Genomic DNA, 24355 nt, shown 5'->3' with positions numbered 1-24355 from the left:
ACTGAGGAGCATTGTGATTTACTTAGTAGCTGGAAATACCTAGATTGTTTTTTCTGCTCTGAAACCTATTGATACAGTGATTCTTTCCTTTGCAAAATGATTCTTAATTTTACACTACGATTTACTGTGGAATATACGTATCTTGAAAAACATCAGTTCCATGGGTTTTTAATTTGTGTTGTGAAGCAAGGATCTCCTTGTCAAATGACTTTGGACAATCCTGCATTATATATCTATCTACCCTTGAGAGTCCCATAAACATTATTGATAAATTCACCCAACACACTAGTTGTGAAAGAGTCTAAAAGGTCCAGCAATAAAATAAACCCATTTACCACTGTTTTAATAAAGCATCATTTCCCACACTTACTTAATCAAGACTACCTTTTTGGAGCACCTGCAGAACTATCCTTCAAGGACTACACTGTGACAACTGGTGTACTGTAGCATTTCTAAAAAAAAGCAAATTCCTGTAACAAATTATGCTTTATTTTATGAAAGAAAACCACATGGGCTTTTCCAGGATACACATACTAGAAAAAGTAATTTCTTTCTATTGTGAGTACCGGGTATGCAATATCAGAAGAGTATTTCTGTCAATGGATATTTAAGTTTTAAATAAATGTTATAAAAATGGTAGAAGATTTCTGTCTGGAAACATTGTGGCTTTTTTAAAAAAAATAATAAGCTCAATGCCAATTTGTCTGTTACATAGGTACCTGATATGATTAATTAGAGCTGTGAACTGGTCTGAGGATGCCATAAAAATACATAATACATTAGGAGGCTGAAACAACAGACATTCATTTTCTCACCATTCTAAAGTCTGAAAAGTCCAATATCATATCTATCAGGGTTCAGTTTCTGGTGAGGGCTCTCTTGTCAGCTTGCAGGTGGGACACTTTGTCCTCACATGGTCTTTCCTCTGATCACATAGGGGAAGGGATGGGAAAAGAGAGATAGAGAAAGATCTATTTCTTCTTATGAGGCCACCAATCCTATAGGATTAGGGTTTCACCTTTATGACCTAATTAATCTTAATTCACGCCTAACGACCTTAATTCCAAATACAGTGACATTGGGCATTAGAGCTTTAACATATGAATTTAGGAAGGACATAATTCAGTCCACAGCAGGCTAATATTCAGCGTATACTAGCTTTAGAGCCATATAAATTGTTTCCAGCCAATAGTTGTTTAAACTTCTCATTGCCCATGTTATATCCATCATTAAATATTTTTACTATTATCATTCATTATAATTGAGATATTGAAATTATTGTGCCTACTTCTTGTCTTAAGGTAGAACTTGACAGGAATACGAGAAGTTAAAGTTATTACTGGACATTTTCTACTGAGTTATCAAACTTGTATCATTAAACTAGTATAGGGAGATTGGCTTCAATTTTTAGAAGGTAGAAAATTCTCTTTGCTTCAGTTTCATGTTTGTAAAGCTAGCCTAAAGTGAGCCCTTCATTTATTCATGCCATCAATACACTTTATTGAGCTCTTTCTATGTGGCAACCAGCAGTTGCCAGTCATACAATGGTAAGTAAAACAGACCAAGAGCCTTCTCTTAGCAGGCTTCTTGTCTAATGGAGGAGAGAGATCTGACCAAATTACCACACAAACATGCCCTTAAAGCTATAATAAATATTATGGAAAAAATAGAGCACTGCCATTGTTTCAAGAAAAAGTTATAGTAAAGGGAGGTGAATGCTGCCAAGAGGCCACATAAGCTGGGAGTAACCTAAGAGGAATCAGTTTGAATCTGAAGAGAACTGTTCCAAGGGTGGCATGGCTGTGAGGCCAAGTTACAGCAGGGTAAAATGTGAATGAAACATGACCAAATTGGAACAGTAAATTGATGCCCCCCTCCCTTTTTTTTTTTTTAGGAGTTTGGCCATTGAGTGGGAAAAGTTAAAATTGGAATCTTTTCTGGAAATCCCATCATTTTATGCCAGAGCTTCTACAGGCAGGTGGAGTTTCCATGGGAAAGCAGCCCCCACATCTTTCATAAAACCAGTCAAGAAAAGGTGCCCAAACACCCCCTGCAATCCTCAAGAAACTGAGCTAATAAAGCACCTCTCAACGTCTCTAGAATCCACAAAAATGAATCTCATTACACCTGAGAATTTGTCTGGTTGAGGTAAACTTTTAGATATTAAACAAAGGGGAAGAAGAAAACGAAGAAAAACGAACACTACGGTTTTTCCATAAAGCAGTAAAGCTACTCCTCTTCAACTAAATAAAATCTTTAAGAACTGCAAAGCTTTTTTTAATCCATATTTGACCAATTTAATGATCAGTCATTTCTGATGTGATGCTTTAGAAATATCTGAGACTCCTTTCTCTCTAAGAAGTGGCATCTAGTACACCTCATTCTATTCTTAACACTTTTGTCACTAAGCACATTGCCAGTTTACTATGTGGGTAGTAAAATATGAGATTATGATAATGTTGCATGATTCAAATTTGTCTGTTCTCTTCAGATCTTGCACCCGTATTATAAAGAATGCCCTTTTTTTCTTTGCCAGCTGAATCCCCAAGTGTTGATGCCACAGATGGGCGATACACCTGGTACCAGGCATCTAGAAAGCACATGATGGAGACTTCATCAAACAATAAATATCAGCCATCATTTCTTCAGGTGCCTGCTGTCAGAGGGCCTGCTTCCCACCTTCCTCTTCATTTTTAGTACTTCTAGTCCCCTTCAAGCTGGAGAACCAGCTAAGTGATGATGTTATGACCACGTCTAAGAGAGAAGCCAACAGACGTAGCAAGCAAATAGAGGTGAGAATCTCCCCAAGTAAAGTACATGATGCAAAGCTCCTCCATTAAGAAAACTCAAAATCAATGTTTGCTTGTCTATCCGAGGTCAAGTGAGTTCACAATTTTGGAAGTTGCTGAAGACATGATTCCCAGATAAGAGAATTAGAAATCTGTCGGTACAATTTCAGTGACCTCCAGCATTTCTAAAACTCCCAGTTTTCTTATCACCATCTTTTTGCAGCAACAAATTGTTTTTTCTTCAAAATATAGGGCCAAACCACCAGTTTATCTTAAGAATAAATTACACATCTTACTTAGGTCTCAAAAGAACCCTATTCTATATTTTGAGTGTCACAATGAGTTCAGCCATTAATCCAGTTAACATGATTCCTGTACTAAACTTTGATGCCATCCAAATTTGTCCACCTCCATTATTGTTCCCTCAGTCAGCATATTCATATCTCTGCCTCAAATAGCTATCACCACCTTGAACCCTTTATTCCCCTCTTACTCACCTATTCCTCCTCCACACAACATCTGGAGTGAGTGATCTTCACAAAGAACAAAGGTGTTTTGCTTAAATCCTTTAATGTGTCCTTCACACCTTGCAGGATAAAGCCTAAACTTTTCACAGCAAAAGAAGGCCCTTTATGATGAGCCCCTGCCTACCTTTCCAGCCTCCTCTCTCCCCAGTCTCTTTCCACTGTCTTAACTCAAACCTTAGAAAGCTACTCAGGATTCCTGGTGAGCTCATCACTCTCTTATCTCTGGGTCTTTGCAGACTGAAATGCTTGGAACTTCCCCCCTTGCCCAGTTAATGCTTATTCTGTCTTTGACTTATAAGTCACCTTTTCCTGGGATCATGTCTTACAAACACTTCAAAAAAATAGGTTGGAGGACTCTCTTATATACTCCTACAGCTACCTATACTTAACTGTAGCATAACATGTTTCACAGGTGGTAGTTTTTTCTGATTTCTTGTCTTCTTTATTAGATGCAATGTTCCTGGAGTTCATATGTCTTGTTGACTTTGATATTCCTTCTACCAAGCAAAGTGTTTTAGTAAATAGCAGATAGTTTGTATATGTGCATATGTGTGTAAAAAATTACACATACTATATATACACACACGTATAGAGCATATATAGTTTATATTTATATGAATATTATATAAATATTTTATATGTGTATATATGCATATATACTATATACATATATACTCATATGTGTATTTATGTATATATTATATACAGTTTATATATACATATATATATTATATATGTATAATTATATAGTTTATATGTGTATATATGATTATATATAACATATTAATTATATATAAATAATATACCTAAAAGAAGCGTTATAGTTTGAAGATGGGTTGTCTCCATCAAATCTCATGTTGAAATTTGATCCCAATGTTGGAGGTGGAGCCCAATGGGAGGTGTCTGGATCATGGATGAGTTCCTCATGAAGAGATTAATGCTGTTCCTATAGGGTGGGTGAGCTCTTACTCTGTTAGTTCCCATGAGAGCTGGTTGTTAAAAAGAGCCTGGCACCTCCCTCCCCTCTCTCTTGCTCCCTCTCTGGCCATGTAATCTCTGCACCTGCCAACTCCCCTTCACTTTCTGCCATGAGTGGAAGCAAACTGAGACCCTCACCAGAAGCTGAGCAGAATGCTAGTGCCATGCTTCTTGTTCAGCCTGCAGAATTGGAAGCCAAATTTTCTTTGTAAACTACCAAGCCTCAGGTATTTCCTTATAGTAACAATAAATGGGCTATGACAATAAGTGAATAAAATTATTAGAAAAAGGGTTTATTTTGCCTCTAATAATATTTCTGCATACATCACTTTACCCAATACCATAATAAAGATAATAAAACTTATGTGTTCAAAATGTGCATTAAAATAAATACTTTCCTTTATCTTCTACATCTACATATTCAACTCTCAGGTGAGAAGGACAGAGTTTATTTCATTTCTACTTTTGCAGCATCTTAAACAATTATAATGACTTTGGATGATGATGATGGTTGTGGCAGTGGGGGTGGTGATGAAGACAGCTGTGTGCTAACGATCAAACATTGAGTTTAGTATTTTCAGAGAATTGAATTGCACTTCCTTTGTTTTATAAGCCCTGGATGACTTAGAGGAGTTCATCATATCTGCAGACCAACCCCTGTGCAGTTATGGGTTCCTTTATTTTATATGCCTGTGCTCAGAAAGACAAAACATCCCCAATGTGACTTCAGCTCAAGCCTTTTTGTTTTTTTCTTGAAAAATTCACTGTTTTTCTTAGAGGTACACAAAGAGCCCTTTCCTCCAAGAACACATCCTGATTAGGATGTTTTCAAATTATAGGAACAAACTACATTCTGATTTCTAACACCTCCTGAACATTTTACAATTTACATTAATTAGAGAAACTAGGTGGTGTTCTAACAGGTACATTAATCTGACTCTTCCTTGGAGTGAATCAAGTAATTAAGATTAAGGTTATTGTCAAAATAGGGAAGGAAGTCTTCCCTATGCCGAATTACATCTCTGTTTGTGATTAACCTTCTTCCCAACAGGTTTTTATAAAACAAAGAAAATGGGTCTCTGAATAAGAGTGTTTTTCCATCCTCTACTGATTTGGAGCCTCTGTTGGGACAAGTATTATACAGTGTTATCTGCTGTTCAGAGTTGGAAAGAAAAAAAGTGACAATCCTATTAACAAGAAAGGGTAACTCAAAGCTTCTTCTATTGGGAAGTTCATATTAAGCAATTCCAGGCATGCAATCATTTTTAAATTAATTCACAAAGGCGGCCCAAGTGTATTATACTTGCTATTATAGTCTTTCTGTGTCTATTACTGAATATACTTGACCACCACCTTTTGCTTCTTTCTTTTACCAGAAAGGAAATTCAATGCAACTTTAATGTCAACTAAAACTTTAAAATTTCCCCTAAATTTTAAACACCAGTTGTTGAAAACTAGAACAATCATCTACACTTTAACCAGTGCCATATCAGAGGCAGATGGACACATTGGTTAAGATTTCAGGCTTTGGAGTAGATCATTGGATTACACTACAAGCTCTGTTATTAACCAATTGTGTGATGTTGATTAATCTCTTAGGGTGTTTATTTCCTCTTCTAGGAAAAGAATGACAATAATAAATACTACTTACTTGATAGGCCGCTTGCAAGAAATGAGATGGTGAACATGAAATAATGTTGTATGTTTTGAGATTTAAAAAAATGCGTTAATGAACACAGTTGTCTCACAAAACGTAATTTTATCATTGTTGTTTGATAACATTTGTCTCCTTTATGTGTGTGTAGAGAGTGGTCTCGCTCACTAAATAGATAGACCCAATCCTATGATTAGAAACACTATATTATTTCTGAAATCTTTAAAGAAGTTTCATGCCACCCTTCTGGAAATGCGTATCTAGTGTTACACTTTCTCACATCAATAAATCCTGGATTGACTGAGTGACATGTGAAGAAAGGAAGTCCTTAAGCGCCACCTGGTGGTACATTCTTGATTTGGCTTCTATCTCGGCTACCAACGCTTTCACAAATCCCACAGGATCATGTGGAATGAAGTCTTGGCCTATTAAGTTAATTAAGCACTACTCGGCACCATGGTGTGTATGACCCAATCTAAGAATTTTCATGATCCAAAAATGAGACTAAATTTGGAGTAACGTCTCTCCTTTAACTGTGAATTGAGTCACGGCCAAACTCATTAGAATGATTTTAGATTATGTGATTTCTGGGTTAGGTACTCCAAAATTAACTTACAAATTGGATGTTCACAAAATCTAAAACACTTATCCACCGATAATTAAAATTTAAATAAAATTTTTGCATTAATGCCAGCCAACACTCTCTCCGCCAAACTATGGATTGGACTTTCTCACCAGCATTTGTCCTAAACCGAAGCACAGCACGTTATGAGGCCATTAACATTGTTATTTTCCCCACTTACTTTTTTTTCCCATGGCTTTCAAGATTCTGCATATGCAATAGTTCTTTCCTAGTACTGCAAGCCAGCTGTGACATAGTGACAAGATGCAGCCAAGTGGATCGATAATAATAATAATCCAGCTACCATGTCGGCAGGAGCCATAAGTTTCACTGACTTTAGTGGGTAATTTGTGTACTTTGGGCAATGTGGCCACATATGTTTGGGACTAGCAGGGAAAAGATGTCAGTATGTCAATTAATGCAGGTGGTGGCAGCCAATTAGTGGAATTAGAATAACCTAGTTCAGAGATTCGTATTTCCAAACTCTCAAATGTTTTACTAGCACTGCCTTTGGATGTGCTATCCTTTGAGTAGGAAGTTCTCACCATAAATAGATAGCTCTCCTGTGGCCCAATTAAGTCACCTCCTTAACCTTTATTTTTTTAAATAAGTGGGTTGATTTTAATTATAGCCTTTTAGCACCTACATAGGAACCTGGTTTGTTATCTTACTTAGAAAATTTATGAGTGTGTAAGAATGTGGTTTCACTAAGGTAAGTCTCATTTGGAAACTGTCCAGAGAAACTGATTATGTCAACTAGCATTATGGCTCATAATCTCTCCCATCCATTCCTTCTCTCCATTCCCAAGGCTACTACCTTGGTTTAGACTCTCATTATTTCTTCGAGCTAGCTCAAGCATCCCTTAGCTAGTCTCGCAAATATCTATCTACTAACATCTCTCACGTTGTGTGGCCAGGACAAACTTCTTGAAACAAACTTCATGTGCTGTCATTTCCCCACTCAAAATTTTTATATACACACACATAAATGTATATGTACATATATATGCATATATTTGTGTACACATTTCTTCATTATTTGAAATATTTCATTTCAAATATTTTTATTAGAATAAGTTGACCTTTTCTCATCAATATTTTTCTACTATTGATAGGGTACAAATATGAAAACACATACATATACATAAATGCATAATATTTAAAAAAATTAAATCCTTGTTCTGATATTCAAGGTCTACTATTGCTTGGTCCTTTCTATCTTTCCAGCTTTGCTGTTACCACAGTATTCCCTTCATACTCTCAAATTCTCTTAATCATTGTTTCTAGACTGTAACATATTAAGAGAAAACATTTAGGCTTTGAAACAAGCAGACCTGGATTTAAACATTTCACCAACTATTACAATGAACTATTTTAAGAAAACCATTCACTGTCTCTGAACTTTTGTCTCCTCATCACTAAATAAGAATAACAATACATTTTTCATAGGGTGGTTTTGAAGACTGAATGAAATAGTGTATTTAGAATAGGCTCATAGTATTCATGTCAGTTATTTCTCTCACCCCCTTTATACCTAGTAGTATTTTAACTACACAACTTTAAGGACATGTAACATTTTCTATACAGTAGTAAAGTTTGCATAAAGTAAATATTTCACAACTTCCAGGTCAGAAATGGTGAAAAAATTGGCACACTTATCGCCACCTGCCTTTCCATGCTCACAGTAGGAATCCTTCCTCAAAGCTTAATAAACATCAAACCGCACCCCCCGCCCCAACCCTTTTTTCTTTTTTCGAGACAGGGTCTCACTCTGATTGCTCAGACTAAAGTGCAGTGGCGCTATTTTGGCTCACTGCATCCTGGCCCTCCCTAGGCTCAGATGATTCTCCCACCTCAGCCTCCTGAGTAGCTGGGAGCACAGGTGCACACCACCACGCCTGGCTAATTTTTGTATTTTTAGTAGATACAGGTTTTTGTAATGTTGCCCAGGCTGGTTTTGAACTCCTGGACTCAAGCAATCATCTGCCTCGGCCTCCCAAAGTACTGGCATTACAGGCTTGAGCCACTGTGCGAGCCAAACAATTTTAGTAAGCTCAGGATTCTTTAACTCTTTTCTTTTTTAAAAACAAAATGGGGGAACGTAGACACAAACTAGATATCACTAGATGATACCAGAATCAGAGCTAAACCAGTGCATGTCCATCCTTGCAGTTAAAGGCACCCTCAAAGACACCTACCACACTTTACTGATGCTTTGAGGCACATATGTTCCTAGATGCTCCAAGCACTACAATGAAGGATTTAAACAGCAGTAAAGTACATAAATCAGTAAAATTGAAATAGAGATGTGTGTTGATAAGGGAAGGGAGACAACTGAGAAAAAAATCACCTCAGCTTGATAAGTTATTTACCAGATCAGAAAATGTCCCTCTACACATAAAGATGTCCTTACCTTCAAATCTTACATTGATCCTTGAGACTGTGATCTATTTTGTGACCACTGAAAGCACCAGCATTATTAGAAGCAGTCAGAGGGTTTGAGTCTGGATGATGCCAAAAGATTATCCATATGGTCTCAGGAAAACATTCAGAACATAGGCCTAGTCTCCAAACTGGTAACCTAAAAGTGCACACATTATTTATAATGCTGCCACCCTCTGACAACAAACCCACTGTATTAATGGGGGAAATGGAGGCTCTTTAATAGACGCAACAGAGAAAATCCAACTAATGAAATGCTAATAACCTCTTTTGTGACTGGCCTGGGCCTTGGCAAAGGAAGTGGTTTTCGAATATGAGCTCACATTTAATCACTTTGTACTTATTAAAAAATGCAGGATTCCAAGATAATATCCCCAGGAAACCATAGATGTTTTTATATTTATATAAATGTGTATGTGCATATGTACATACACACACACACACACATATATATATTTGTGTTTGTTATGTATTTATACACACATACATCCATACCTGCCATGAGTTGAAGGTGTTCCCCAAAAAGCATGTTGGAAATTTAATAACCAATGCAACAACATTGGGAAGTGGGGCCTAACGAGAGGTGTTTTGGTCAGAAGAGCTCCATACTTATAAATGGAATAATACTGTTTATGAAAGACTTCAGCCTGCATGTCCTATCACTTGCTTTCTCATGCATGTGCATTTTTGTCCTTCCACCATGGGAAGCAGCAAGAAGACTGTCACCACATGCAGGATCTTTGACATTGGACTTCCCAGCCTCCAGAACCTTAAGATCTGTTCTTTATAAATTACTCCATCTCAGGTATTCTGCTATGCAACCCCAAACAGATTAAGATAAATAAATGGTACTGGGAAGTGGGACTGTTGCTATAACAAATACCAGAAGATGTGAGAAGGGCTTTGAAACAGGGTAAAGAGTAGAGACTGGAAGAATTTGGAAGAGCAGGCTATAAAAGCCTAGCTTACTATACAGGGAGCATTAAGGGTGCATCTTCTGAGGGCTCAGAAGAAAAGAAGAGTTGTAAAAAGAACCTAAATCTTCTTACAGATTATTTAAGTGGTCATCATCAGAATACTGGGAGAAATACAGAAAGTAAAGATCATTTTGATGACATCTCAGGTGGAAATAACAAAGTATTGGAAACTGAAGTAGAGGCCATCCTTGTTATTCAGTCACCAAGAAGTTGGCAGAATCCTGTCCATGTCCTAGGACTTCATGAAGGTAGAATTTAAGAGCTATGAGCTAGCAGGTCTGGCAGAAGTAATATTTAAGCATCAAAGTACTCAAGATGCTGCATGGCTTCTATTAGCTGCTTACAGTAAAATAAGAGAAGGAGACAATAATGTAATGATGGAATTTATCATTAAAAGGGAAACAGAATAGAAAGATTTAGAAAAATCTCAGCCTGGCCATGTAAAGAATTAAAAAGTGTGTTCAGCAGAGAATATTAAGTGTGTGGCCAAGTGACTCTTTGCTAATGAGATTAATATGGGTAGAAGCAAGCCAGGTTCTATTGATTAAGACAATAGAAGAACGACCTTAAAGGCATTTCACAGACCTTCAAGGCAAGATAGGACTTGCCTTGTTTTCAGAGCAAAGTTTTCAGAGAGGTGGCTACAGGACCTCAGGATTCACTGCCCTTTGCTTTAGGACTCTGCTCTCTGAATGCAGTGCCTCTTGGCCATCCTAGTCTTGGCTCAAGTGGACCCAAGTGAGGCTTGAGCCACCAAAGGTACAAGCTGTAAATCCTGGCAGCATCCTCATGGTACTAATTCTGCAGGTGCACAGCGGGCAGGAGCTCTGGGACCATGGCAACGTCTACTTAGATTTCAAAGCATGTTACAGACAGACTGGAGACCATGGCAAAGACTTGCCGCAGAGGCAAACCCACTGCAGAAAGTCCCCACTAGGGCAATGCCTAGTGGAGTCATGAGAGTGGAGTAGCCTCCAAGACCTCAGAACTGCTGAACCATCAATATGCTGCTCCAGCCTGGGAAAGCCACGGGTATAAGACTCCAACCCATGAGAGCTGCTAGGTGGAGTAAGCCTGCTAAAGTCATAGGGATGGGCTGCCTGATGCTTTGGAGGTCCAATCCTTGTCCCAGTGTGCTGAGAAGGCAAGACACGGAGTTAAAAAAGTTATTCTCCAGCTTTAAGATTTACTGTTTTCCCCCTATTGGGTTTTGGACTTACTTGGGACTAGTTACCCCTCTTTTCTTGCCTATTTGTCCATTTTGGAATGAGAATGTCTACTCTATGCCAGTTCCATCACTGTAATTTGGAAGTAGATAACTTGCTTTCGTTTCACAGGCTGATAGTTGGAGGGCATTTGCCTCAAAATGAATCATGCCTTGACTCTCACCACCATTCTCTTTAGAGGAGACTCTCGACTTTGGCCTTATGAGTTGGTGCTGGAACAAACTAAAACTTTGGGGGTATTGAAATGAAAGTAATGCATTTTGCTTGTGAGAATGACATGAATTTCGGGGACCAGGGTTGGAATGCTATGGTTTGAATGTGGTCCCTAAAAGCATATATTGGAAACTTAATCTCTAATGCAACAGTGTGGGGTAGTGGGGCCTAATGGGAGGTGATTGTGAAGGGGGCTCCATCTTTATGAATGGATTAATAATGCCAATTATAAAAGAGTTGGGGGCTGTGAGTTCAGTCTCTTGATCTTTTGAGCATGTACTCCTTTGCTTTCCTACTATGGGGTGATGTAGCAAAAAGTTCCTCACCAGAAGTGGGTCACTTGATTTTTGGACTCCCCAGCATCTAGAACTATAAGAAACAAATATCTGTTCTTTGTAGAAACCAAAAACCAAATACCACATGTTCTCACCTATAAGTGGGAGCTAAACATTGGGTACACATGAACATGAAGATGGGAACAATATATACTGGAGAGTACTAGATTGGGAAGGGACAGAGTGGGACAAGGGTTAAAAAACTACCCATTGGGTACTATGATCACTACCTGAGTGACAGGATCAATCATACTAACAGCAGCATCATGCAATATACTCATGGAACTGACCTGCATATGTACCTCCTGAATCTAAAATAAAAGTCGAAATATTTTTTAAAAAAATAAAGAAATATGTATTTTTTATAAACCACCTTGCCTTGGGTATTCTGTGTCAGCAGTCCCAAAAAGACTAAGACAACACCCAAAAGCAAAAGTTGGTGGTCTGAGCTTCATTAACAACTTTTCAAAGTCCTCCTTTGTGAAAAAGCGGCAAAAATTAGCTTGATTATTGGAAAATATGATAGGCCTAATTGACATATTAAAAGTAACATGATGAAGTAGAGAACATTTTCCCAAGGTGGTTTTCCCTCTATTTACACATATAGTAAGTATGTGGGTGACGACCATATCATGCATGTGAATACATCCCTTGCCTCATCAAAAAAAGTGACCAAAGTGTATAAAAGGTCATACAGTATTGATTATACATGGTATCACAAAAAGAAGAAATCAAAGGACATTACAGTTATAATATTAAATAAGAACTTTCCAGTGGAGAAGATGTGTCACATACTTAGAAGGAGTTAAAGAAAAGTTCATTATCTAACACAAGGCAATGTGGGAAAATAAATTGTTTAGTTGCAAATTATGTTTGATTTATATATAGAAATGTTTCATTCAAAGCCTCAGTGAAAGATCTTTCTGTTTGTTGTAAAGACATCAACTAAGCAAGTGAATATAAGTTGGGAATTGAAGAATAGTACGGTCTACAGAAGAGTTTTTCTAGCGTGACATTGTTGGCATTCTAGCTGGTTATTCCTTTGTTATTGGAGGCTGCCCTGTGCACTCCAGGATGTTTAGAGCATCCATACTCTACATACCACATGGCGGTAATATTCCCACCCCATCATCCAGCAGTGACAACTAAAGATGTCTCCAGATAGATCCTCGGGGGCTAAATTACTCAGTTTGAGAAGCACTGGTGTAGGCACATAGACTCCAAAGTCATAGGTGTATAGGTGGCAGAGAAGCAAGAAGGAAGGTTAAACATATAAAGAATTGTAGGATACAAAACTACAGGGTATGCTTGGCAGGGGTGGGGGAGACAGAAGCTAAAGAAGTTTAGTCAAAGAGGTAGGAGAGAAACGAAGAAAACATGCTCTTTCTAAAAGTGAGAATGTTTCATGAACATTCATGAAGGAGACAACATAACTCAAGGATAGAAAAGCATCCATTAGGTCTGAGAAATAAAAGATTATTAGTGACTCAATGGAACTGGTTTTAGGAGGCTGGTCAGGCAGAAATGAATGAGCAAAAAAGGAAGAGAACATTGATTAATTTTTAAATAATGTAGGACATAAATGAAGTAGAAAGAGAATTAGCTAGGTAGGTAATTGGAGAAGAAAGCTTTTATTTATTTTGATGTATGTATTTTTAGTGATAAGAGAAATAAGACTTATAGATTCAAAGAAAAGAAATGTTTAGAGGAAGCTGAAAAACTTGAATTTTGAGACACATTAATGACACTAACTTTATTGTTTTAAATCTTATTATATAAAATGACTGTAACCAGAGGAGAAGAGTGATATCTAGGTTATGGTGCTGGTTTTACTATGAACTGACAGCATGACAGGTGTCCTTATATAAGAGACTCCATTTTTGCAAGCATGAAAAATGAAGCATTTATAAAATGAAGGAACATTAAGAAGTTAAGGTCAAAAGAAAATGTCAAATCTGTGAAAGAAAAGGACAGTGCCTAGAGACAGCAGGAGTGGATGCTAGGGGCAAGGTGTAATATTAAACCGAAACTCAATCAGCCAATTACAGCCTGACGTAGTCACCCCTTAAGAGATTGTTTTAAAAGACATTTGGATCTTTTCTGACTTGAGAGTTATATAACCTGTGCAATAACTACACCTTGTTTTGGGAAGCTAAATGAGATTAAAAAAACAGAGAAATGTATGAAATGCTGGTATCTTCTACAACAATGATCAATTTTACACAGCTTCCCCTAGCCCTTGAATTATCAGTCTTCCATCTTCCAACATAATTTGGAAGCATGTTATTTTATGAAAAGAAGGAACAACAATTACTCCTCAAATTATGCTTAAATTTTTATAGTTTTGATAGCTATATCTCTCCAAAATATTCAAAAACCTGGTAATCACATAGGTCCGTTGACTTGCTTTTCTTTTCCTTATAATGAAGAAGTTTGATAACATGGTATCTGGAGGCCTTTTAGTGTTGAAGACTAAACTATTATCATTCTACTGTGGCTTAGGGACCCTAGGTCTGACCTACAGTGAAATGTAGTGTCTGAGGTTATGGTAGGCTAGTTCTGTGTGTGTGTGTGTGTGTGTGTGTGTGTGTGTGTAATTAGGCATTTTAGTTGTCAGGCAATTTAAGTGTATTAACTATTTAAATGATAAAATCATCATCTAGTGCTCTGAGGCAGCAATTTACTAAATGGTATTCTAAGTAGCCTGGAAAATATAATGGAGCCTCTGAAAAATGACCAAAATCTTTGGACTGGAAATTGTCCTTAAATTGTCCAGCATAAAACCATGTTGGCACAAAGATGGTAGCCATTAACAATGTTTCATATATAACATATACGTAGCCATAAACATTTTCGTGATTTATTCCTAACCAAATGTGCATTTGCTGACGTGGAGGAGCAATCTTCAGGGGAAATGGCTCTGTAATGTACGATTTGATATGTCTTTCAAATCAAGCTCCCATTAAAGAGCTAAGCATTTGTCTACATGAATCAAAAATAAATGGCCACTTACACTGATGCAGGAATTTTGTCAGCAAAAAAAGACAAGTAAACAATTATATCTGAATGTGTCAGAATATATAATAATATTGTAATACAGTATCTTAGAAGTGGCTAGGCTTTTGCTTTAACTGGTGTTTCATAGAAAATCTCAATGACAGGTAAAGAAATAAGAAAATTAGCTGAGTTATCACTTTTCATTATAATAAGAAATGTTCTCCAAATGATATTTCATAGAAAATCTCAATGAGGGTGAAGAAATAAGAATATTAGCTGAGTTATCACTTTATTATAATAAGCAACATTCTCCATCTTACTATTCACATAATGCAGAAAAGAGGTAAGATTTATAAAACAACCCCTTATAAAAATGTGTATTAATTAACACAGGATACATTATCTTAGATAGGAAAGAGCACTGAGGAAGGGGTACAAATGACAGATTTTAGTCTTATACCTGTTATTTATGAGGGTTAAAACTCTCCCTTCACCGTCTCCTTTGGTTGAACCCTCATATTTTATTTTGTGTGTACTGCTCATTCAATGGTGGGTGAGGGTCCTCTTCTCTAGCGCAAAGGGTTAGACCTTGGCTAAAACGTGCTCCATGAGTTCACAGACACAGGGATTGGTTTGTGTAATCCAGGCACCAATCAATCACCACCTAGAATTCCATGGCCCTTGAGATTGGGTCAGGAATGTTTCCAAGAGCAGGAAGCCCAGTGCTCCGATTCAGAGATGCATGCACACAGTTTCAGTTCTGCACAATATTTTGTGAATGTGGTCAAAGTATGGAAAAAGAAAGACCTACGACAATCACTGAAAAGTCAAGCTCTTATTAAACCAAGGGTTATCCCAACCTAACTGTGGCCTTCAGTTCACATGCAACAATAAATTATTTTTATTGTTTAAAACCACATCAATCAGATTTTTTGTTATTTGCTGTCAAATGCATCCTTACTATTACATATATTAAGATCAAGCCTTTATTTCATTGACTTGAGCTTTTATTTCCTCACTTGTGAAATGAACAAATCTCTGCTATATTAATGATATTGTAGGAATATCTGACCAGATATGTGTGTGAAAATCCTTAGTAAAGATTTTAATGCATGTAAGGTTCTATTTTACAAATAAAAACAGTTTTATTTTTCCCTTAAGAATCAAAAGTTGCAACTCAAAGACAGCATTTTGTTATAGCAGGGGTTTTTTTGGGTCCTTTGACTTTACTAAGTCATACTGTCTGCTCTTGCCAGATGTGTAGTATACAAAGTAAGGTGGAAAATTGAGTTAGTAGGTATAAAAAGTGAATTTTCTCTAGTACATCCCACTAAAGGCTGTGAATACAGTCTTTTTTGATTTGCATTCACTCTGAAGAAAACTTTCACATAACGAAAATCCTAATGCATGCTAGGAGGGGCATGAGAACAATTTTGTCACTCTACACAGCTGTGAATTGTAGCATTCCTATAAAAGTTGCTTCATTTTTTCATGGAGTATACTGCTTTTAATTTTCATTAAATGATGCTTGGTGGTTTTTATATTGAAGATATCTTCGAATCTCTGCATATCATCTAATCAATGTAATAATAAAGGCCAAAACTCTTGCTTTTATAAGTTATTCTAAAGAACCTATAAACATATATGGAGTTTGAAGAAACATGCGTGCACTTTAAATTCTTGAAGTGTGCTTGCGGTATTTTCTTTCAGCCCCTTACTTCTCCTCCCCAAGTAGTGAAATTAGATATCGAAACCTTGTCCTGTGACTTTGCAACACCTTCTTCCTCCTTGACCTTGGACATAGTCATGTGATCTGCGTTGGCCAATGTGAAGTTGTTAGGTATGACATAGCAGAAGCTTGAAATGTCTGATTGATGGAGCTCGTTTTCCTAGTACCTCTGTCTCTGTGATGAGAAAATGTCAAGTTATCCTGCTTGGAGTAAAAGAGACACAATCAAACCGCCCAGCGAAGCTCAGCATAGATCAGCAAAGCTATCCAGCCCAGCCACAGACCAGTCCATCCACAGCTGATCCAGAGGTGTATGAAAAATTTCACTTGATCATGCTTTAAGCTACTAGGTTTGAGAGGATTGGTTTTGCAGCATTTTTGTGCCAATAGCAAAATTATACAGCTCTGTGTGTGTGTGTGTGTGTGTGTGTGTGTGCGTGTGTGTGTTTGGTATCTGCTTAACATTGTGTGGTGTATGAATATATATAATTTACTGTCCTTAGACTGCAATGAGCTAGAACTCCAAAAATAGGGGATAAGAGGGATGCAAATGATTGCAATAAATAGCAGGATGCCACAAGTTTGATAAGGACCTTGAAAGCCAGGACTGATTTCTTCACCACTGCATCCTGTATATCAAGCATACATTTACAGTTGCATGATTCCAAATTGTCATCACTTGTCATGAAAGTGATAAGTGACATTGTCTACAACCAAATGGCTTTGTTATTAGTTAATCACAACTGACTGGAATCCAGGGAAATAACCTTTATTTTATTTTTTAATTTCAGGTTCAATCCTAATACTCCAAATAAAACTTCATCTCTAGAATGAAAGAAATCCAGTATGGTTTATTTAGCTTATTCTGTTTATTCCTATTCTCCTTTCAAGTTGCTATTCTCATGGGCCAGGAAAAAACATCTTTTGTGAGGCTAGCTCTCTTATATCCTCATACTCTCTCCCCCACATAGCATTTTGTTTCTTTGTAATCCTTTGCTGCTCCTGAGCTACAGGATCTAGAAAATAATTGGAAATTTAACAGTGAAATTAATTTCTTGCTAGCATTTGCCTTTATTAGACTGAAACAGTGTGTGCTTTCATCTGATTGCAATACATGCACGTATGTGTATGTAGACAATACATACACATATAACATATATGTATACAATACATACACATATAACATATATGTATACAATACATACACATATAACATATGTGTATACAATACATACACATATATGTATGTATACATGCATAATATGTACATGTGTATATACAATATATAAATTGCATTATACATACATATGTATATATGTATGTATTGCAATATACATATTGCAATATACATATATACAATGTACACACATATGTATACATGTATTGCAATATACACATATATTACTATATATGATATAAATATATAAATTATATTTATATATAAATATAAACATATAATATATAAATATTATATATTATATATATTATATATAAATATATATATTATAATATATAATATATATATTATTATATTTTATTATTATATATATTATTTATATATATTATATAAATATATAATATATATTATATATAAATATTATATATATTATATATATATATATATATATAAAACTATGTATATATGAATGTATTAGTCAGGGTTCTCCAGAGGGAAAGAATAGGATATATATTCTCAGGGAGTTTATTAAGTAGTATTAACTCAGACGATCACAGGGTCCCACAGTAGGCTGTCTACAAGCTGAGGAGCAAGGAAACCAGTCCGAGTCCCAAAGCTGAAGAACTTGGAGTCCGATTTTCAGCATGGCAGACAGATGTAGAATGGGAGGCTAAGCCAGTCTAGCCTTTTCACGTTTTTCTGCCTGCTTTATATTCTGGCCACACTGGCAGCTGATTAGATTGTGCCCACCCACATTGAGGGTGGGTCTGCCTTTCCCAGCCCACTGACTCAAATGTTAATCTCTTTGGCAACACCCTCACAGACACACCCCAGGATCAATACTTTGCATCCTTCAATCCAATCAGGTTGACACTCAGTGTTAAACATCCCAATGAATATATATTGCAAGAAGAAATATATGTGTATTTTTTCTTACTATATTACCATATGTCAACTATAAGAAAATAGTGTGGAAGAAGAGAAGAAAAACCTTAATACACACATAAGTAAAGCCAGAAACATCCTTGTAGAATTAGGATATATAATATATCTCTATGTTTTTTCTTTTTTTTTGAGACCGAGTCTTGTTCTTTCACCCAGGCCGGAGTGTAGTGGCACTATCTTGGCTCACTGCAAGTTCCGCCTCCCGGGTTCAGGCCATTCTTCTGCCTCAGCCTCCCGAGTAACTGGGACTACAGGCGCCGCCACCACGCCTGGCTAATTTTTTGTATTTTTAGTAGAGACGGGGTTTCACCGTGTTAGCCAGGATGGTCTCGATCTCCTGACCTCGTGATCCGCCCGCCTCGGCCTCCCAAAGTGCTGGGATTACAGGCGTGAGCCACCGCGCCCGGCCATATCTCCATGTTTTAATCTTGCTGTTTTTTGTTTTCCCACGGCCATGTTTCTAAATATGCCTTAACTAGGTACAGTACAGACTTGGCAAAAACTCTTTCCAGTCAAGGTGCATACACAGGTAGAATTTTCTGTTTCAAGAATGATTGATAAACAGATGGTGTATCCGTCAAGATTCTCCAGAGAAAAATAAACAATAAAAAATGTGTAGACGGATGAATGGATGAATGGATGGAGAAAGAGACAGAGAGAGAGAGAAATAGATTTATTTTAAGAAATTGGCTTATGTGATTGTGGAGGCTAGTAAGTCCAAAATCTGCAGGATAGACCAGCAAGCTGGAGACCCAGGAAAGAATGAACGTTGCAGCTCAAGTCTAAGGCAGTCTGCTGCCAGATTCCCTCTTCCTCAGGAGAGAAAGATGTTAGGAGAGGTCAGTCTTTCCATCCCCCCACCATTAAGGGCTTCACCTGATGAAATGAGGCCCACCTAGATTATGGAGGTTAATCTGCTTCACTCAAAGTCTACTAATTTACATGTTAATATCATCTTAAAAATTCCTTCACAGCAGAATTCAAAATAGTGTTTGACCAAATATCTGGACCTTAACATGTAAAATTAATAATTACAGAGGGACAGATTATGGAAGACAAAGAACAAATTTTTTTTTACCAGGTAAAGAATTAGATTCATTAATTTTAGGTAAACTGAAATTATCCTAAATTACTTTTAATTCAAACCAAAAGACAAGGAGAGATAATGTAGAATTGTCTGGTAAACAGTGTCAAAATCATGCAAAACTGAGGAGACTCAAGGAATTAAAAAAATTAAAAAAAAACATACTAGGCAAGAATTAGCAGTTTACTTTCTGGACTATGAGCCTAAACTTTCTTTCTTATCTATATAAATATTACCTAAATCTCCATTTTTTCTCTGCCTTAGCATTCTTAGACACAGTGTCACTGTCACATAGAACAAAACACTTTAAGTTTTCCTGCAGATAACATGAATCTCATATATCAGCAGAGTATCATCTTTATTGTGATGTGTTACAGTCAAAGAAAAATATAAACTTTGTATCCTCAGTGGGATTTTCTTTCTGAAAAACGCTGAAAGTCTATTATAAAGTGTGTCATAAAAATCTCTCCCTCAGCCCTAGATTAGTCCATAACTACCTAGTGATCCAATGCGAAGTATGGTGTTACTACAGAAAACTCACATCCTCTTGCAAAAGAAGAAATCTCAGTAAGACCTAAAGAAATAATAGGGGTCTTATTTCACATTTGTTCTTTTCTAGAAGAAGACGAGAGCCATCTTAGACTCACGCAGGTTCTCAAATATAAACCAATCTCTCACAGAATTTCCAACACTTCTGAGTGCAATATAACTTACCTGTGTCACACATACACTTCAATATTATATATTTTTAGGACCTCTCCATAAAAGAACTCATCCTGATGCCTTTTTACCATGTTAATATTCAATATTGTTAACTCAGAGGTATTTGGTTTTATAGTAAAGTCTTGTCTGATTAATAAGGTAATTATTTACTTTTATATACTTAAAAAATATTCTGACTTCTTTACTATCTTTAAAGGTCGGATAAAAATGCTGGAAATTTGAAAATGTGGGTGGATATAATAAAGCAGGCTTAGGTTTCTGCACTATCCAGACAGGAGTCCACATGTGTTGCTCTGGGTTCCCATGGTAACTTAAATGGAAACTTTCACAATGTCGGGAGTCCTTGATGTCCTGCAAATGAAGGAGGAGGATGCCCTCTAGTTCCTAGTAGCTGGAACCTGCTAGGTGGCACCAACCCTTCCAAATGGAACAGTATATCTATAAAAGGAAAACTGATGGCATCTACATCCTAAATCTGAAGAGGACCTGGGAGAAGCTTCTGCTGACAGCTTATGCCATTGTTGCCCTTGAAAACCCTGCTGATGTCAATGTCAGGTCGTCCAGGAATCCTGGCCAGTGGGCTGTGCTGAAGTTCGCTGCTGCCACTGGAGCTACTCCTATTGCTGGTCACTTCACTACTGAAATCCTCACTAACCAGATCCAGGCAGCCTTCTGGAAGCCACGGCTTCTGGTTACTGATCTCAGGGCTGACCATCAGCCTCTCACAGAAGCATCTTGTGTTAACCTGACTATCATTACTCTATGAAGCACATATTCTTCTCTGTGCTGTGTGGACATTTTCATTCCATGCAGCAAAAATGTAGCTCACTTAGTGGGTTTGATGTGGTGGATGCTGATATGAGTTGGCTGTGTCCCCACCCAAATCTCATGTTGAATTGTAGTTCCCATAATCCACACATGTCATGGGAGGAACCCAGTGGGAGATAATTGAATCAGGGGGGAGGTTTCCCATGTCCTGTTCTCCTGATAGTGAGTGGTGCTTTTTCCCCTTTTGCTCGGCACTTCTCCTTGCTGCTGCCATGTGAATAAGGATGTGCTTCCTTTACCTTGTGCCATGATTGTAAGTTTCCTGAGGCCTCCCCAGTCATGCCAAACAGTTAGTTAATTAAACCTCTTTCTTTATGAATTACCCAGTCTTGCGCATGTCTTTATTAGCACTGTGAAGAGCAGAGTTGCTTGAACATCTATGATAACTTGCCACAGCTCTAGTTAAGGGCAAATTCAGAATTCAAAGCCAGGAGGAGTCCAAGGCCAAAGGCCACTTTCATGACCATTATAATTCTCCACTCCCAGGCAGTATGGACAGATATAGAAATTATCCATTGAAAGTTTATGGAGTCAGAGAAATTTCATGAATTTTACAGTTTTTTTTTTATTTAGTAACTAGCAGGATTTTGTTAAGATTAATAATTTGGGCTCCAGAGCCAACTTTCCTGGGTTCAAATACACTTATTAAAAATAAATGAGGTTACACATTACTGAGTGGTAATGTAAATTGACAAAACTTTCCTGAGTAAAATGTGGTAAAATGCATTAAAACCTTTAAACATGTTAAAAACATTGTCCCAGGAATTTTACTTATAGAGTTTCATTTAAAGAAAATTTCTATAATGTACACAATAATTAATTACAAATGCATTTAATTTCATTGTTGTTTTGAAACAACCTAAGTGTACAACAATAGGGGATTGATTAAATGAGTAATATGAACTTCATATATCACAGGGGAATGCCTCCTTCCTCACCTTTGTTTTGTGGCATCCTCCGCAGTCTGCCTGGCTTCCTTTTCCACCACTTCCTCATCCCCAGAGCAGAGGACCACCAGCTTTACAGTGGTTGGTGTGTTACAGGTATTGGGTAGACATGATCAAAGTTTCTCTGCTTGGAGAAGTTGCTTCTTTTCCTCCTTCCTCTAGCCAGGGACAGTGAAGGGCAGGGATTTCCTGCTCCCTGGCTTTAAGCTTTCCCTGAAGTGGGTTCTTCTCACAGCTCAACAAACTTCCAAGGGATGCAGTGAGCAAGCCAATTTTTTCTCTCATTGTAAGCTGTGCCTGCCAATTGTGCCTTAATTAGGAATAGGGTGATATTCTGGTTCTCCACTTGCTGTCTATTTTTCAACTGAATTGGGTAGAAAAGACAGGTGCTACTTACTGAGTGCTCTCAAAGACCCTCAAAAACACTGAGGAGAATATTATAGCCATTAAAACTGACATATGAAAAATAACATACTTATGGTTGGAAAAGGTCATGACATTTTAAAGCAAAAAAGCAGGCTACACAAAAATGCGTAATACACAGTTAAGAAAACTGGGGGGATAGCAATACATTGTGTTTATTTTTCTCTTGCTTATTCTGCATTCTCTAAATTTTTCTACAAATATTTGTGTTGTTAAAAATACGAATAAAAATCTATATTTAACAAAACAATACAATAAAGGAGGAGAGTTTATTTAACTTTATGAGTCTCAGTTTTCTCCTCCCCTAAAATCCAAAATAACCCTCTTTGGGTTTTTGCAAAGACTTCATTGACTGATCTACGAAAAAGGGCTTGCAATTGTGTGCGTCATAGGTAGTGATCTGTTTTAAACTTTCAGTCTCATTTTATAACTATAATTTTGATACCTTCCCAATTTGGCCTAGTTATAGTGTAAAAACTATAGCTTCCTTTTCATTAATTTTAGTAGTCACTACCACTTTAGTATCAATTATCCAAGTGCAAAACAAAAACAAAAAATCGTTATTCAATTGCCTGCTGCCAATATTGGTGATATATTTGACCTCTAGGCTCAAGTATGATTTTGTTTCATAACAACAGTATTCAAAAATGTTCAAGATGTAGCTGGCATTATAAAATTTTAGATGATTTCCTTCCATAAGCCAAAAGTAAATTAAGATTTCTTTCCTCTTCATAAAGGAAAAAACCTATTTTCAGAGTTAATATGACAGTGGCTACGGCTATAGCTTTCTTTTACTTCAAAAAAAAAAAGTAGAGAACGGTATGGTGTATTTGGTATAAATAAAGGAAACATGAGGATGAGACAGAAAACACGTTCAAGAAGAAGTAATCTTCTCCCCTTTGACAGCCAAAACACAGGTACATTTTTAGCCTCATTTGGTTTCTAAGACAGTTCTTTTTAAACAAAGAAAAAAAATCATATTTTGCACCCTCAGTCTCTTCAATGCATGGTAAATTAGTAGCAAAGTAATGATGAATGTGGAAATTAATCAAAAGCAAAACTATAGTTTTTACACGTTTCTTAGTGAATTAATGATTTCCCTTTATTACAGTAAATGTGTCAAGACCATAAAATGTGAACAAAAATTTAAAGTGTAAGATTAAATGCTGTTGAAACTTTGCCTGACCCTTATTAATGCAACACTGTGCTTAAGCAGAAACCTGGAATAGAAATAGAAATTATAAGAAAGTGTTACAGCCAGAAATTTTCCAGTAAAGGCCTAAAAAAAAAATGAAGTAAATGATAATAGCTTTAAAAGACAAGTCAGGGGAAGAGCCATCACAATTCAATTTTAAACAAGGCCAGGGGCAGAAAACGGTACCTATAAAGAATCAAATGTAACTGAGAAAAATAATCTTGTAATAAGTCAAAGAGTGGTTTTGAAGGAGAAGATTCAATAATCCAGCTGTTAGCTCTCAGCAGGAATCTGTTAAAGGAGACGTGCACTAAACGCTCTGCTTGAGCAAAAGTATGCTTCTTAAGGTAGAAAAGTTAGGAACAGTGCAAACGCTTTGACTAAATGAACTGATCGCACTGGTCAAACAAGAACGTTTTGGAAAACTATACGTACTTCTTCAAAATGGAAAAGGGGAGTAGGGCTATTCAGGGAACCAATGACTCAAAAATTCCTATGGAAAATAAGTGTGCTTAATTTTATTTTTTAAATGTATTTTTAGTCC

General features: G+C 36.8%; 1 long non-coding RNA gene and 1 pseudogene across 1 annotated transcript in view; one reads left to right on the top strand and one right to left on the bottom strand.

The window, feature by feature from the left end:
* Positions 1 to 24355, bottom strand: part of LINC01266 (long intergenic non-protein coding RNA 1266) — a 253911-nt gene that overhangs the window by 206953 nt on the left and 22603 nt on the right. The gene's annotated exons all lie outside the window — the stretch shown is intronic.
* Positions 20674 to 21274, top strand: RPSAP32 (ribosomal protein SA pseudogene 32; annotated as a pseudogene).

The sequence above is a fragment of the Homo sapiens genome, chromosome 3, assembly GCF_000001405.40.
Source record: "Homo sapiens chromosome 3, GRCh38.p14 Primary Assembly".
NCBI lineage: Eukaryota > Metazoa > Chordata > Mammalia > Primates > Hominidae > Homo > Homo sapiens.
The sequence above is the reverse complement of the archived record's forward strand: the minus strand, read 5'-3'. Positions and strand labels throughout refer to the sequence as shown.